Source organism: Homo sapiens, chromosome 2, assembly GCF_000001405.40.
Source record: "Homo sapiens chromosome 2, GRCh38.p14 Primary Assembly".
NCBI classification, from domain to species: Eukaryota; Metazoa; Chordata; class Mammalia; order Primates; family Hominidae; genus Homo; species Homo sapiens.
The window spans coordinates 72,190,282-72,208,348 of NC_000002.12; the positions used below are offsets into that span (position 1 = coordinate 72,190,282).

Here is an 18,067-nt window from a genome sequence, read left to right on the forward strand (position 1 = left end):
CCTGCCCCAGAAAGTACTGATTTCTAAAGTTACTTAGGTTAGTATTTTCTTTGTCATTACTTTCAATATGGTTGTGTTTTTCTTCTATAATTCAGCTATGTTCATTTTTCACTGCTTGTGTTCCATTTTTGATTCCCCCACATTCCAGTTGATTTTCATTATTAATTTTGGGGTATGTGAAACAATACTATAGTTCTGAGAGTAACAGCAATATAAAAAAGTGTTCTCAGAGAAGTATTACTCCCTCCTCATCCCAACCTGTTCCCATTCTCCCCACTTCTTTCTACATATTTCCTATTCATTCCTGTAGATAACCAATCTAGTTTCTCGTTTATCCTTCTTTTATTTATTTTACGCCAATGAGCAGAAACATATGTATTTTCTTATATCTTCCTCTTTCTCTCTTGAAGGGTAGCACATCACAGCTACTCTTTTATGCTTTGTTTTGTCATGTAATGGTGTATCCTAGAACTCACTCCCCAGAAGCTCATTCCTCATTAATGATTATATTCTTGATTTATTCATGAAAATGCGGTTTTTGTAAACTAGGTAAGTAAAGTCATTTTCAAGGGACAGACCAGACATTACATTTTGGAGCATTTCATGTTAACTTGGTAGAATAGGAGAGTGTTAGATTTTTAGAGTAGGAAATTCTGATAAATGTTAAGGCTAATTCAATCAAAAGCAAACTCAACCCATCATTAATGATGCTTTGATTTCAAACACAGAGTTATCTGTTTGTGGTATTTAATAGAACAGGGGAACTAAACTAGTGTAGTGGTTGATGTAATACTTTATAAGCTATATAGGTTAATTAAAATGGTAAATTATGTGATTACTGGTTATTATACAAAAATGTGTGTAAGTGGAAAAAGATATGACAAGGGGAGACATTTGTAATCAGTTTATATATTCAACAGGCCACTATGATAGGATACTTTTTTTTCTTCCTATATAACTTTTATCTGTGTGACTCTTAACTAGGGCTTTGGCAAAGTTCTAAAGCTGCCTCTGCTATATTTCCTTGTTTTTTTCAGAAAATTCCCTTAGCTTAGAAAGACTCAAATTGTAATTCTGATTTCATGGAGGGTGGGAACAGTGGAGAGGACCAAGAACTAGAAAGCATAAGCAACTTGCTAAAAATCACAAAGTAGACAAGTGGTAGAGACAGTTTGTTGGCTCACACTCCCCAAGATGCCACAGCTGGTTGTTTGTTGTTGTTGTTGTTGTTTTGTTTTGTTTTGATTTTTTAATCCTGATTGATTCTGTCTGAGTTAGCTACTCATCTGAGACTAGGCCAAATTTCTGAACAGACTTTCTTTTTTGCCAGAGTAGCTGGGAAAGACTAGAAAAATCCAAACAAGCCAAAGTGGAAACCAGTCCAAGGCCATACAGTGAGTTAACTGGACAGAGAACAGACAGCATTATAATAGTAGAACAAATGCAAAGTTCCAGGAATGACCTTAGGAATGCGATTATTATTAGGATAAAGCAGGACTCTGTTGATCCTTGTTAGTGCACACAAATATACATGTCTCCAGCAGCAAGTCTAGAAATAATTCAGATGGATGAGTTGCTCATGGCTAAAGGATTAGAAGGAAATCGTCAAATAAAAATTAAGGGCAATATTCAAGCAAACCATCCGGGGGGTACTTAAGTTTTCTTTGGCAGAAAGGATTACCCAAAAAAACTCAGAAAATAGAAATATGGAGCCTGGTGGAGAATGGCCTGCTTGTTCCTCCTCCTGGACTGTCTGTTACCAAATCAATTCATATCATGCCTATTCATGAGTGAAGAGAATTGTTGGACGTACCCTACCTTCGTTGCCAATTCTTGGGATATGAGCCTCATCTCCCACGTAGACAGGAGCTCCCCAAGGATGGGGATTATGTCTTTTCCTTCTGACTCCTCAACAGCATAGACTATCAAATGGCTAGATTCTCAGCAGGTAGTCAGCAAAGACATGGCACATGGAATTAAATAGGTCAGCTAACATTTTGTAGCAATGATACTGGCCAGATGGTGGGAGAGACTTATACTTTGTGCTTCTCATATCAAACATTCAAATGGACCAAACCTAAGCTCCTCTTGCCCAGCACTAGAAGAAAAGTTGTATAAGGAAGAAGGAAGCATCAAACAGGAGATGTGATACCTATGACAGGTGAGTGGGAATCCAGTCCCAGACATTTGAATTCAAGGTTCCAATGGAAGACACCTATGACTAGTGACTGGGAACACAGCAGATGTTTGGTGACATGTGGGCTGGGTCTTAGTAGGCAGCATGGGGCCTACCTCATGTTAGAGAAAGCCTCCTCTTTCCAGAAAACCTGCAAAGATTCCATGGGAAGCAAAGGGTAGTATGAGCTAAGGTAGGCATGCAGACAGACACAGATGCTAAGACACACTGACAGTGACCATACCCCTCTTCCCCAGGGGTGATTTTCTTTACATGCATGTTTTCGCTTGAACAGGAACACTGAGTCCTGTAGAGAACTGCGCTCCCAAAGCAGGTGCATCCTTGAAGTAAATTTGATGTAGGAAAACCTGAATTTGCACTTTATATACATTCCAGAAGAATTCTTCATGTTAAACAGGATAGACTACAAAATGATTTCAAATAACATGCTTTTCTGGGACACTTAACATATAATCCAAGAAAAATTCTAAAAATTCTACCTCTTCAGAGCATGGCCACTGTATAAAGTGCAGTCCACTTTCACTAACATACAGAACACTAACCCCAGAGCAGCTTCATTTGTCCACTCCCTGCCTTTGACAGGATGAAACTAATTACATCATTATAAAGTATTTTCATAATCACTGATCCACATCTGCCTTTTTTTGGAGGCAGTAGAGCACAGCAAAAAGAGTTCCAAGGCTGAGGGTCCTCTGACTGATAGTGTGACCCCAGGCATGACACCAAATCTGTTTTTCTGGTTCAGATGTGGAATCATAATAGCTTCTATCAGCAGCTGAGAGCAGATTAAGAGAACAATTGTAAAGTCTACTAAAAAGCATAGAATTGACCAATGACCCATTTGTGTTTATTGCCCAAGATTTCCTCCAACTCCCTGTCTCTGGTGCTGGGCCTCTGTGATTCAAAGAAGGGCATCCTGAGTCTGCCTCCTGTGTCTCCTCAGGAGCACTTCCTGACACAGAAATCTGGGCAAATGTAGAAAATGCAAAGCAGGGCTTATTTCGACAAACATAAATTGAGTACCAACAATGTCTCAGTCACTCTTCTAGGTACTGCATATGAAATGATGTTAAGACGTTATCTCTAGTCTTGAGGAAATCAGTCTGGTAAATAAATTGATACAGAATGATGTGAATACCCTAACAGGTACTCTAACAGGTTACAAAGAAAGTTCAAAAGAAGGGCATCTAAGCCTGAGCCAGGTAGGTGGTGACTGGTAGGATGGGGTGGGGGTGTCAAGCAAGGAATCTGACATGGCTAGATCTCTCAGGAGTGCTTTGGGAATAACCAAGACAAATGAGGCCTCATATGCTAAGCTAAGGAGATTGATTTTAGCCTAGAGACTTCTCTGCTTGTTCTCATCACTGCTGCTACCTGCTTTTTTCTAGATCAGAAGATGGAAAACTAAAGTCACCACCTGTTGTAAATAAAGTTTTGTTGAAACATAGCCATGTTCATTGATTTACATAATTATCTATGCTGCTTTTATGCTATAATAGCTGAGGTAAGTAGTTGTGACAGAGACCATATGACATGGGAAGCTTAAAATATCCACTATCCAGTCTTTTACAGAAAAGGTTTGCCTGTAGATCCAAGGCAGGGAGGGCAGTATGCTCTGAAATTCTCTCAGATGTAAGGCATTTAATACCTAGTAAAGAAAGAAGAAAAAAATGGCTTTAGAGAGACCCTTCCCATTATAATGAGATGGCATAAAATTCATTATCTTAACAACTGGCGTAAGAATTATTTTATGGGAGAAAAACATGTTTGGGGAAATATCCTGCTTGGTGAGACCCCCAAGGTGCCAAGACATCTAGTAGAGAAGGTAGAAGGAATTTGGTATTCTGGTTCTTGAGAGGCAGAATGTGAAGAGAGGAGATTAACTAACATGTGTGAGAAGGGCTAAGAAGAAAATCCTTCATGGTATTGTGGTTCCAGACAACTTTGGAGACCTGGGGAATCTAGTAAGTGACTTTTCAAAACTGTTTGCTGTGCAATTCATGACACAATCAACCTTCTTTACAAACCCAACCCCTCAATCCCGGTCTTTAGACAAATCCACTCTGCTCCCAATTGCTTGGGTGAATGATTTCTCTCTCTCTCTCTCTCTCTCTCTCTCTGTGTGTGTGTGTGCATATGTGTGTGTGCACAACTCAGAGCAGAAGCTGTTTCACACCTAGAAAGCTGCAGAACTGCCCTATGGAACTGGGAGTGCAGGAAGCAAGAAGGCTGGAGGTGTCTACGGATTCACAGAAATCTGGAGGAGGCCTTTGGATTTTCCATAGGCTATGGAACTGTGGTAGAGAGAGGTTCCAAATTTTTCTGATCTCTGTAGATTAAGGGGGTCAAGCTTATACCTGAGCTTTGCAACAACGGCCAGTAACAGGTTGGTTCCTGGCCCTACGTCTGAACTCCTCTTCTTTTCCCTAGTTGAGTGAAGGCAGAAGAAGAGGTAGGGGAAGGCACAAAGAGTGGCTGTGCAGCTCCCTGCTTTCCCTGCAGCCCAGCTCCAGGTGGATGGAAGCTTCATTAAGTTCTTTATCAGTGACCAATTGCCTATCAGCAGCTTCCTCTGAAAGGGAACATCACCCTGAGAAATATTTATTTGCCGCATAAATGTGGATTTATAGGTTTTCTGTCTAAAATTTTCACCTTTTCTCTCTTGGTAAAGAGAAAAAAAGAAAGATAGGGAGGCTTCAGATTCTCCTGTTGTTACCAGCTGGTGCCTAGAGGAAGACTCCCAAATAAAAATGCCAACACCAAGTATTCCTTTGAGTCCGAGACTGTCCTGTAGGGCCATTTCTCACTGATGACAGCATCTATCCTGCTGCAGGGACCAGAAGGAAAACCTATTATCACACTGGCTGATAATAACCATGTACACATACATGTTCAAGGGGAGGATGGGAGGCCCCTGTCATGGGCTGACTCAGTTGTCCCTTGTTGGGGTGGCAGAAGCAGGCAGGTGTGAATTTTCAATGGAACTGCTGCCACAGATGTTGTAGGAGAAGAAGGTAGGAGCCATGGACCAGTGTTTATTTTCTTGCAGTATAGTGTGACTTGTTAAAGGTTCCTAGGTGGGTGAATTAGGGACTATATTATTGAGTTGTTAACTAAACTACCCTCCCTCTCTGGACAAAATGACTAAGTGGCTTAAATAAAATCCCTGCAAAGAGACCACAGAGTGAAGACAATACTAACAATGTAAGTGTAAGCAAATATCGAGAAAATGGCAGAGCTCAAAAATCTCCTAATCATAATACAAGCTCTTTATCAGCCACATTATAAAATAATAATAGTAATAAGCTAATCAGATTTGATAAGTCAGTCCCCCAAATCTGAAATTATCAAAAAAGCTATTTATATTATTTGTATTCATTATTATGAAAAATGAAATTTACTTAACCTGAGTACATATTGTGCCTTGAATTATTAATATTAGTATGTGTGTATGTACAAGCAGACTTTCAAAGGTAATGATAATGTTCTGTCTATTAAACTGCAGTGGGAAGAAAGTTATATGTGGGAATAACCTTTTGCAGCTACTCAATGTCTAATTATAATTTATTAGTAAATTTTTATACACACAACTATATTAGGGGTCAGCCCTTAAAATGTCTTTTACCAACAGTGAATTTCAATCAAAAAACTTTGGAGACACTGGGTGATAACCTGCAGGAAAAACTACTGCAAATTCATAATGAAAATGATTCAAGTTATTTTTTATAAATGGATAAATTAAGAAACATAGTTGTAGAAAATTACATCTTGCCTTATATGAGTCATTATTACAAATTACAACCCAGGCATCCTATGATAGGCAGAAGAAAAAATACCTAACATTAAGGGATCGTAAAGCAGGTAATGTCCTTATACCCTGGGTAAATTTAGAATAAGCTAGGCTCTCTGTGGCCTATGAAATATGCTTGAGTCTGGTAGAAAGACTCAGCACTAGACAAATTAACTTCTTAAGATCTTTAGCCCAACTAGATATGCATTTAAAATCAATTTTGTTTACTTGGATTTGAAGGCTAGAGACTGAGTAAAATTGCAACTCAGAATTTCATTGCCAAATTTTGGAACTAATCAATAGTTTCAGCAAAGAAGCATTAGATAAGTGGTTCTTGACCACCAAGGGATCATTTTTGTTTGTTTGTTTTCCATCCATAAACTTCAAATTTCAAAAGGGTTCTGCCTCCCAAACATTTTGTTAAGTAAACACTAGTTCCCAGGAAGACGATAGTTTCAGACCTATAGTGGTGGTATATTTGTTACTTCCTTTGTCATTAAGTTCATTTTCCTCCTTTCAATTCTATTTACTAATTAGTTTTTATGTAAAAATTTAACGAGCCACTTCAAGTCTACTTTGGACATAAGTGGGATTAAATAAATAGATAAAAAGTGTTCACCAGCATGCTATCTGTCCTTGAGGGTCAAAGGAGGGGCCCAGGCATTGAGTACCATATGCATTCAGATCAAGGGAAAATCAGGCCCAAAATATTTTAAGTTCCAGTCTGCCAAAAAGTTGGGCATGATTTAGGTAAACAGAAGAGAATGAAGGGAATTTCAAGCAAAGAGACTAGTGGAAGCAAAGGAGCAGAAATAGGAGTAGCTGAGATGTATTCAAAGGAAGAAGAAAATAGACATTTCTTGAATACCTATTATGTGCCATACTGGGCTAGTTATCTTACTTACCCATTTCATTTGATCCCGAGGAAAATCAACAGCAGAAGAGGTAGGTACCTCCATTTTATAGATAAAGAAAAGAAATCCCAAAAAGGTTAAAAGAATGGGCCAAAAGGAACATATGCAGTAAGTGACAGAGTCAGGACTTGGACCCATGACAATCTGACTCCCAAGCCTGATCTTTTCCTCCATTCCCTTTCGAGCCTCTGTCAAGGGCTAATTGGATGAAAGCAGAGGGCATATAAAGGAATAGCAGTGAAGAGGCTGAAGAGGAAGTGGTGGGGTTAGACTATGCAGAGTACTGGAGTACTGACTCTCAGTCTAAGGACTTAAAAATAATCTATATTCCACGGGGAGTGGTAACATTTCAGTAGCAATTTATTTAGTGGGATAAATTTGGCAGTAGCATACAAGATGGACTAGAGGAGAAAATTTCTAATCAGGAAGATCTGAGACAATGAGGATCTGGATTGGGATGGCAACAACAGGATGACAGAGGAATGGCCACTGTCTCAGGTCGGACTGAAGGATTTGAAGGCTGACTGAATGTTGGAGGAGACAAGGAAGACTAAAATGTGATCACAAGGCAGGTTTTTCAAAATCAGTTGCCTTTAGAGACCAGGCACACAATATAAATGAATGAATCAGGCAGATGAAATATGATAGTGGGTAGTGGGGGCTATGGAAAACTAGAGTACATAATCCTCCTAAAGGCATTCACATTTAGATGTTTTAAAAACATTATGCCAATCACTCATTGGGCCATCAGTCTGAAACTTTTGTATAGGGTTTTGAAGCTGGATAGGACACAGGACAGAGCAAAGAGGAGAATGTTGGATATTGCCCCATGATCTACATGCCTCTCACATTCCCAGAGCGTTCTCTCATTGGCAGGGTATACCACATTAATTAGGGTCATTACCAGTCCTAACTTTTGCCCACCAGCTGAGCTGACATATATGTCCCACAAAGAGGACATAGGGCCAATATGAAAAGAAACATATTTCAGGTTCAAGCCAGTGTTGTCAAGCCTGCTTAGAACACCATGTTTTCAGATGAGCTAAACAAATGGCCTTCAGAACAGATCCCAAAAGAACTCTTGCCTCCAAGGAAAACCAACAAAGCATTAAGGGCCTGCTCTCTCACAGAGCAGGCTGCCTCCTCCTTTTCCCCTTTCTCTACTAGCTGGGTCCATTTTGAAAAGGACTTTTCAGATCAGGCCAAGTAAAATTATAAGGCAGAGAAAAAGAAATTTATAGATATTTACTGAGAACCAAGTGTTGGCTAAGTGACATATGTTTAACTTAGATAACGTTATTGGATCCTTTACATAATTCTGTGAGATAGGTTATTATTTTGCTAGATGTGAATAAGAAAGTAAATAAATAGCAAAGTAGTAGTAAGTACAAAGTAAGTAGTAAGTACAAAGAAAGTAGTAAATAGCAGGCCTTAGATATGAATTTAAGTCTCTTTAACTCCAAAGCTACTAGATTTGAAGTTAAGTCTCTTTAACATCCTTCTACTATGCCAAGAGCTCAGGTCTGCACTGTTCCCCATAACTGTTCTCATTCCAAACAAAAGCAGATGAACCAATACATCTCTGAGTTCTTTTGTATGTGTCTTTTGCTTAAGCTATGCCAGTACTTACACAATTCAACAGGAAACAACACTGAAATCAGATGACTACTAATCTGGGGTGCATGGGTCAGGAAAGTCCAAAGTGGGGACCATATTTAAATCCTGGTATGAGGCAACTATGACTGTGTGACAAGGGCTGGTTGAATCATTGCCTGGCTTTCCTAGCCTTTATTCATGTTTAAAGCTGGAAAGAACCTCCAAGAAGAGCAGAGCAGAAACTCAATGAGATTCCAGGAAGCAACAGAATTCACTAAGGGAACCACATGAAGAGAGAGTGGTGCAGTAAGTGTGAATATCAGACGAAAGAACAGAGTCCCACCCAGAGCTGGCTAGTGAGTCACTGTGATTTCTGACAACCACTAGGCTGTAATATTGAGCCACACACCACGGAAGATTGGAAATTCTATTTAGATTTTCAAGGTGATTTTATTAGACAGCTGACTTAAAGGGTAAGGCTACCTTACAGTTCAGCACCACACTCAATTCCAGGATCCTCAAAGGCAATGCATACAAGCAGGCCCAGTAGGTAAGTGCTTGCTAAAAATCTTGGCCAAGTCTAAGAAGCAAAACTTGCTGAAGACTATTCAGAAATACGTGTTTGTATTTGGGAGGATGGGGAAAGTGAAGAGATATGTCTTAATTTTTCTCTTTGTCTTTGCTCACTATGAATTTTTATAGGCAGAGGGTAAGGCTGGCTACGGGCCTCTGGCAGGTTTCAATGACCAAGGGCAGTTAATGCTCAAAGAAACAGTGAGGTTTTAAATTACCTAAACCCTAGTAGGACAAATAGCTTCCTCTCCACCGCCATTCCCCATCACCATGAATACCCTTCCTTTTCTATCAGAATCTCCTTTCTGTCCTCATGCCAGAAACTGTCACAATATTACTTCTCAGAATTCTCATCTAAGGGATCAAGCATCCTACATGAAACAATTTTTGCCCGAATTCTGCCTGGCATTTTCAAAACATCCTGAAACCCTAGACCTTTTAGTTTGTTCCATATTATCTGTCTTTTGGTTAACAAACATACCATTAGTCATCCTGCTTTCCTTTGGTAGCTGCAGACATATTCTTTCGGCTTTTGGGAGGTTTTTATTTTTATTTTTATTTTGAGACGGAGTTTCATTCTTCTCACCCAGACTGGAGTGCAACGGCACGATCTCGGCTCACTGCAACCTCCACCTCCCGGGTTCAAGTGATTCTCCTGCCTCAGCCTCCCGAGTAGCTGGGATTACAAGCGTGTGCCACCACCCCCTGCTAATTTTTGTATTTGTAGTAGAAACGGGGTTTCACCATGTTGGCCAGGCTGGTCTTGAACTCCTGACCTCAGGTGATCCGCCCACCTTGGCCTCCCAAAGTGCTGGAATTACAAGCATGAGCCACTGCACCCGGCTTGAGAGATTTTTAGACTTCTGAAATAGAAGAGAGAAGACCAGTACTGTAGCCCTGGATTTGTCATTAGTAGCCTTGCAACTCAGGATTCCTTCTAAAACTCACATTTACTGATGACCAGATATCTAATGTCCCTCCAGCTCTAAGATTCTAAATCTAATGAATTTCTTTTTAAAATAATTTTTATTTATTTATTTTTGGTAGAGACAGGGTTTTGCTATATTGCCAAAGCTGGTCTCAAACTTTTGTTCTCCCACTATCTTGGCCTTCCAAAGTGCTGGGATTACAGGCACAAGCCACTGTGCCAGGCCAGTGAAGCTATGGTATAGAGAGTAGTTCTTAGCATTTAGCAGAAATGGGACTGATAAAATGATAGACCGTGAGGAATTGTAGAGAACTGTACTATTATTTCATCTTGCACAGGAGGAAACTGAGGTCTGGAAAGATTCATTACAGCAAAGCTACCATGAATGGGGCTGTGGTTGGAATACAGGCCCCTGATTTGAATCCACTTTTCTTTCTAATATATGATGCAATTTAATCAGCTAGAGGAGAACAAAAATCTTTGAGAATAGTACACAGGTCAGGTGCCTAGAGAGGTGAAGGAGAAGGAAAGGGAGTTTCGTTTTTTAATTAAAAAATAAAAATAAAAGAGAATGTAAAATCCATCTTACCTCAGTGAACAAATGTTAATGATTTGTCCAGTTTACTTCAGATCCTCCCTTTGTTTTAAAAAATAAAACATCATAAATAAAGATGAAATCCCCCTGCCTTCTCTCCATTCTTTCACCTTCCTGATGAAGGCTGCTATCATGATTTTGTTATGTATCTGCTATATGTTTTTATGCTTTTAATAGATAAATAATATATGGTAATGTTCTGTTTTTTAGTTTATATATATATATACACACACACACATACTAGGCATACATATGTGACATTATACATAATATTCTGCAACTTGCTTTTTTCATTCAATCTTATGTTTTCAAGATCCATCCATGTTGATCCATCTAAATCTAGTTCATTTAACTGCCAAATAGTGTTTTCCACCGCAGAAGTATACTTAAATATACTACAATGTATTCATCAATTTTTTCATGATGGAAATTTGTACAGTTGTGTTTCCAGATGATAGAAGAATGGGGTGTTGCTTGTGCCCAGAAAGCAGGCAGCCTGCTAGGTGAGTATGGTGAGAAGGGGTTATCATCCTTTATCACTATATATGTGAAATGATGTAAAAAAAAATAGCAGGCCATTTAGTGAACCAGCTTAAATACTCCCTGAATTTGATCCCACAGCAAGTGGCAGAGAAAACTCAGATGATTAGTTCAGGAAGGACTCTTAATGAGATAACTGAAAGGAAATTCATCTCTCCTTGGAAGAGAACATGGAGAGGAATAAAGAAAGCACAGTAAAGCTGACATCACTATGCCTACCCTGACCAGAATTAAGATAAACACAAACTATTTCTTCTCTGAATTGTAATGTTAGGGAGTTACATCCCCATTTCTAAGTCTTTGGGAATGGATCAGCAAGTCTCTATAAGATTTTCAAAAGTATTTGAGGCTGACCCAGGATGGTAGAGAGGAACAGGCTCTGCTTCCATAGTTATTGTGTGAGGTTGCAAGTTATTGAATTGAGAGTCCAAGTTTACATTTTCCTTGAACTTCAATAAATTACTGAATTTATTGAATTCAGCTAAGTGCCCACTACCAGTGTTTGGGTTGGATGGGAAGAAGATACTAGGAGAAAAAAGAAACCTCCTTGTTGTGGGAAAGCTTGGTATCATTCTCAAAGATGCTAGGATGGAAAGACTTCTTGCCTTATTCTACATGGACAAGCTTAATCTTCTAATTTCTTGTGTGGCTAAGCAATAAGGTCTTAGTCTCTGATGGCAAGGAAGCCTTGATCCAACATTAGATCTATGTATTTATCATTTCTGGTCTATATATGGCTTGTTGTGCAGCAGTTTCTCAATCAGGTGAATTTTTAAAAACCTGCTCCAATTTCTTGAATAAGGATATGAGAGGAGACACAGTAAGTGAAAGCACTTGAAAACTTCATCTTGTTATTATAGTTAACAACACCATTACCACAGGGTATCCTTATTATTCAAGGAGATTTTTAAAAAGCAACTAAAAACTGCCCTTTGTGAACTTTAAAACAACAGGAGTTGTTCTGACTTTTGCTTCAATGTAATATAGACAGCAGCCCCTGGCTTTCATCCAAGTTACAATTCCCTTCTCCCAACCCCAGAACCATCATGTCCATATTCTGTGTGAGCCCAGGACAGACAGGTATTCTCCAGATTAGCATTTATCCACATGGCTTGTTCTGTGGAAGCAGAGTTCCCTCTAGGACCTTACCAAGGGCCAGATCATAAGCAGTGATTATTTGAAGGGGAACACCCACAGTTTATACCATGAGCAAGCTGTGGGAGAAAAAAACCTATTTTTTTTACCTGAGATCTCTCCCATGTCTACAAGAAAATCATTCAGAAGTAGATACTAAGGTGACACTGAAAAATCACCTTGTTTTAGCCAGTCTCCTTGACTAGTCCTTCTCATCTAGTGACGAGTCACATTCCTGACTTGAAGATCTCTTTAGCAGCTAAATATTCCCCAAACTTTCCCACCTCCTGTCCCCTTTATGGATTTCACAAACATTTTATAGCACTGAGCCGGGGACAGAGGGTAGGGAGTTTAGGAATCCTGAAAGTCACACTGAGGAGGGTGGTGAGGCAAATCCAGACCATTCTGCCTAAGAGCCGGCCAGTTCACGACGTTCATCGTTTCTTACTTTTGTGCCTTTGGGCAAATTACTAACCTCTCTCTAAAATGAAAATAATATTTGCCTTGGTAGAGTATTCAGCATAGTGCCTGGCACAAACGTTCAGCAAATACTGGCGATGATGATGATAATGACAATGAAGATGGCAAACTTATTCCTGCCTTCACTTCTTCACACTTGCTGTTCTGATTTACAATGCCTCTTCTTTTCTCTTTGTCCTATCTAAATCCTTCCCATTCTAAGAGAACCTTAAGAAGTCCTTTTCAATCAGTCCCAGGCACAATATTTCAATTGGTAGTATCATAGCCTATCTTAAATTATGAATTATTTCTTTTGTCTTGTCTCCCCAGGGAGATTATACGCTCTTTAAGAACAAGGATCTTTTTCTGTGCTTCTACCTGACACATGTCTGAGCCCATGGTATGCGTGATATACTTAGCATCGAGTATAGTCAAGGGAATTTCTATTTGCTGGTCACAGAGTGGTACTAAGCACAGTACAAAGGGAATTTCACAGCTAAAGGCTGTGTCTTTCTGGCTGCTCAACTGGACTTCCATTATCAATTCATACAACTAAAATGGTCCTATATTGGCTACAGGAATAAAAAGTCTATATTCCCTGAATGAGCCTCAAATGAGTAAGAGATTATAGAAGCTAGTTCGAGATTTAATACTTAACCACCAAGAATTCACTAAGCAATTATTCCTGCTCCTGATATTGGAGAATGAATTGTATTCCCACATTCTCAAGAGGGCTGCTGAGGTACAACAGAGGTATTTCCCCCATGCATGTCTGTACTGGCCCAGAGGCTCTGGACCATCAAGATATTGAGATTATGGCAAATAAGAGTTGGTAAGAAATCATCAAGTGGCCACTGCTCTTCTGTAAGTTGTTGACGCTCAGGCTGTGGGCCTTCAAGGTATTATACACTGCATCTCTAAGCTTCTGGAATTCTCTGGCCTGGAGGCCTTTCTGCAAATGGGCTGGAAACTATAGCATAGCCCTACAATGGGAAGGAACTTCCAACGGAGTTCTATCTTGATGCTGTCTTCTGCTTTCTCTGGATACCAGCAAAGTCCCTGTCCTTCTTCCTCCTATCTCTAAGGTCAGATAATAGACACTCTCCCCTTTCAGCCTGTGAGCAGCTTAAGGCCTTGTCCATTTTTGTCTTATTAGTGTTCAGCACTGTGTGGTAGAGTAGAGAAGGATCTCAAAAAAATGTGTTCTGCCTGATAATTATGAGAAAGTATTGTAGGAGGCCACCGTTGTGGCAAGGCCCTGAATGTATCAGAGCAAACACCTCTCCCTGAGCTCCCCGCCCTCTGGCTCCTTGAGGTTCTCTGGGGTCCCGGGGTCTGGCTCCACAAGGTTCTAGTCTCTGCTTTCTGTTGCTGTTTCTTCACATTCTCCAAAAGGCAGAGAATGGGTGGAAAGGCTCAGCCACAGGATACTGGACTGTTTACAGTTGGCCAGGCCAAGATTAGCGTGAGCACAACATATGCCAAGTTCATTGGAAGTTACATTTTCTCTTTGTTTACACATTAAAGGGGAGAAGACCAGAAGAAGAAAAAAAAAAAAGCAGGTGACCTCCTGTTAACCTCAGCCGTCTGCAAAAGGCTGCTGCCCTCACCTCTGAATGAACTTTCAGATTATCTCAGACAAGATTCACCTTGCGCTGAACTTGTACGCCTGCTCTGAAGCCCCCAGTCACGTAGCTGTGATTAAACATTACAGAGTGGCCATAAATTTACAGAAGTATTATTGTGCCTTGCTTTCCTCTTCTTCTTTGGGAGAGGAAGAGGGCAATGGGTTTGGGGTGGGGGGAGTTAAAAAAGGGAAACACACAGTCAAACAAACAGTTCCTTTTCACAGCTCTGAACAAAAGAGAAAACATTGCATAGGTGTCCCAGAAAGAAGGAGAAAGAAATTTGGCCATGTGAGAGAAATTAAAGCTCTAGAAGCCTGCAAAGCCTAAAACTCAACGGAATAGCTGAGGTGCTCCTGGTCCCATTTCCAGACAGTCTGCAAGTCTACAGATGAAACACAAACCTGCTCTGGTCCTTGCTCCTGGCTTCTCATGAAGGGTATCCCTGAAATAATACTTTTGCCAGAGAGAGAGAGAATGGAAGAGAGAGGGCATGAGGCAACTGACAGAGCAGCAGGCAGGGGAAAGAAGGCTGCAAGACAACACAGTTCATTTTGTTCTTTGAGCTGCTATGAGAGATGAGGAAGCCCCAACATCTGGGACATTTAAACAGAGACTGGATAAAGACTAGACCGTGTTCTAAAGGAAACACCCTGTAGCTGTACCCAGGAGACTGACCAGATGACCTAAGAACATTTATTTCTATGATTCACTATTTTATGCTTAAAGTAGAAAAAAAAAAAAGGATATTCCACTGAAGTAAAATTTGTTAAACCCTCTAGGATTCCAAAGCCAAGATACGCCTGCAAAAGGCCTGTGCTGACCATGAAACAATGAGACCTCTATAACCAGAAAAGGCCAGGGAATGCTCTATTTAATCCAAAACAATTGTAAAAAGTGGTCAGGAAGCCCAGACTGAGGTGATAGGCGCTGGCCAGCAAAGCCACCTTTGGAAAGGAGTCGCTCTGTCTCTGGTTACCCTATGGCAGTGACAGGGGTGCTAAAGAGGCTCATTGTTTCTATAGTTGGCAAGGCCTTGCCCATAAAAGCAGCAAAGTCCAGGGTCCATCCACATGAGGAAGGCGGTTGATGGCTTAGCTTAGCTCTGACTCTCAGCAAGATCTCTTGCTGCTTTTAAGAATCAGCCAGGAGTCAAAAAACAGGCCTGTGGAAATTCTCAGGCATTGCCTCTGACACACAGAGATGAGCCAGGAAGTGAAATGGCCAGTGTCAGGGCAATATTGGGGATATTGAAGTTTTGCGTGGGAGTTCTGAAGTCAATCTCTGGTCCCCAGGGGCAACCTGTGTTCAAAACTCTGGCCTGGACTTGGAGAAGAAACAGAATGGATTCCTGCCTCTCAGTGTGAGTTCTGTGAGAGACGAGACTATTGGGTAGAAACACAGGGGAAAAAGGATAATAAAATGTACATTCATTGCAAGCCAGATGGGCCAGGTATATATTAAATGCATTATTGGTACAGTCTCAATTAGTGTGATTCTAAGAGGAAGATACTATTTCTCAGGCCTATTTTACCGATAAGGTAATTGAGGCACAGGACAATTTAAGCAACTGCTCAGAATCACACTGCTATTAAGCAAGGAAGTCAGAATCGGAAACCAGGTCTATCTGATTCAATGCATCTTTAAATATGAGAGTAAAATCTTAGAAACATAGAATCAAGGAAATCTACCAAAGTTCATGCTAGGCAGACTGAATAAAGTGTCCTCCTCCTTTTCCCACCATCCTTCAAGACCCTTCTTAAGTACCCATCTCCTTTAGGAAACCTCCTTGAACACTACTATCAGTTCCTTAGATTTATCCCTTCTCTGAACTCCATTTGTACCTATTGTTCATGGTGCACAGGAAGCACTATATCACATATTTTTCTATTCTTCCAGTGTTTGTGCCTCACAGTTGAACTGTTGATTATGTCAGTAAACCAGATGTTGATATACAGAGAAACCCAAGTGTTTTATGCTTATATCTCCCAGAATAGAATGTCAACTCTTTGAGCAAGGGACACACAGTAGAACCTCAACATACTGTGACTAAACTCCACAGAGACTAACAAAAAGCTCTTGATGTATTAAATAAGGATACACTTTATAATAAAGAGAGTTGTTCATTAGTGGAATGTGCTGGAACAGAATGAGTGAAATGTGTGAATGTGTGAAAGTAGAATAAGTTCTACTTCTTTAGTATTTTTCCTCAAGATAATGTAGTTTTATTGTGTATTTCTTTATAAAAACAACATATGCTTTTTGCAAAAAAAATTCAGAAAAAACTTATTTAATTCAGAAAAGCATAATGGGAAACCATCATCCATAAACCTCATTCCCTAGGCATAATGACTGTCAACAATTTGGTATCTAGCCTTTAACACTTTTTTTTCTCACCAAAATAGAGCAAATTATAGATACTGTCAAAAGCAGATTTTTCCCACGAATTCAGAATAGACATCTTTTACATGTAAATACATATAGATAAATGTAACCAATTTTAAAGACTTCACAGAATCTATTTTTAACAGCTATATACCGTACTAACTTGAACAAATCCCTTATTGATGGGTATTTTGAGATTTTTCCCCAATCTTTTTCTACATTACCCAATGTCTTGATGAAAATACTTGAATATACATCTTTGTACATTTCTTCAAGTGTTTCCTTAGGGAATAGTGTGAGTTACAATACAGCACAGTGGTTAAAAGTGTCAACTCTGGATCTAGATAGCAACTCATCAGCTTTGTGAACTTGGGCAAATCATCTAACCTCTATAATCCAGTCTGATCATTTATATAATGCAGATAATAGTACATATATAATTAGGTAGGCATGCATATTGAAATAGTTAATTCACGCAAAAGCACTCAGGACAGTGCCTTTTATGGAGTAAATGCTGAACAAATGTTAGCAATGATGGTGATAATTGATGATAAGGATGATAATGGTAAATTCCTGGAAGCAGAATTCTAGGTCAAAGCTTTTGATATCCATCAATAAACTGCTTTCCAGAATAGTGTAACGATTTACATTCCCATTAGCAGGTATCACAGTGTTTTTGAATGGAAGTATTAGATGTTTTGATGTACATTTGTCAAAACACTAGAGGGACTATCTCACTAAACAACAAGCTTTAGGTTTATCATCTCAATGATCCCTTTCTATCATAAAATACCATGCTTCCTTGCCCTATTCCTAAATCATATAAATGTAATGAAAATAATAAAAACAAGTTGAAAATCCCTGGAACACCTTAGAAGGAGAGTGCTAACTTGCACTTAGAAAGTGCTTTATAGTTCACAAAATGTTTTCAAATATATTCTCATTTTTCGGTTCAAACACCACCTAACTTATTGGCTATGCAAATTTATACTCTCTAACTGGGACAAGTGAGTGATGATTAGATTACAAAATAACCAAAGGGATGTCAGGTTTCATCTTTTTAAAAAAAATTTCAGTTTTTATTTTAGATACAGGGGGTATATGTGCAGATTTGTTACGTGGGTATATTACACAATGCTGAGGTTTGGGGTACAGATCCCATCACCCAGGTAGTGAGCACAGTACCCAATAGGTAGCTTTTCCACCCATGTTTCCCTCCCTCCCTTCCCCATCTAGTAGTCTGCAGTGTCTGTTGTTCCCATCTTTATGCCCATGTGAGCTCAATGTTTTGTTCCCACTTATAATTGAGAACATGCAGTGTTTGGCTTTCT

At 39.6% G+C, this 18,067-nt stretch overlaps 1 protein-coding gene across 10 annotated transcripts in view; it reads right to left on the minus strand.

Moving 5' to 3' along the window:
- Positions 1 to 18,067, minus strand: part of EXOC6B (exocyst complex component 6B) — a 650,050-nt gene that overhangs the window by 14,298 nt on the left and 617,685 nt on the right. The window lies entirely within an intron of this gene.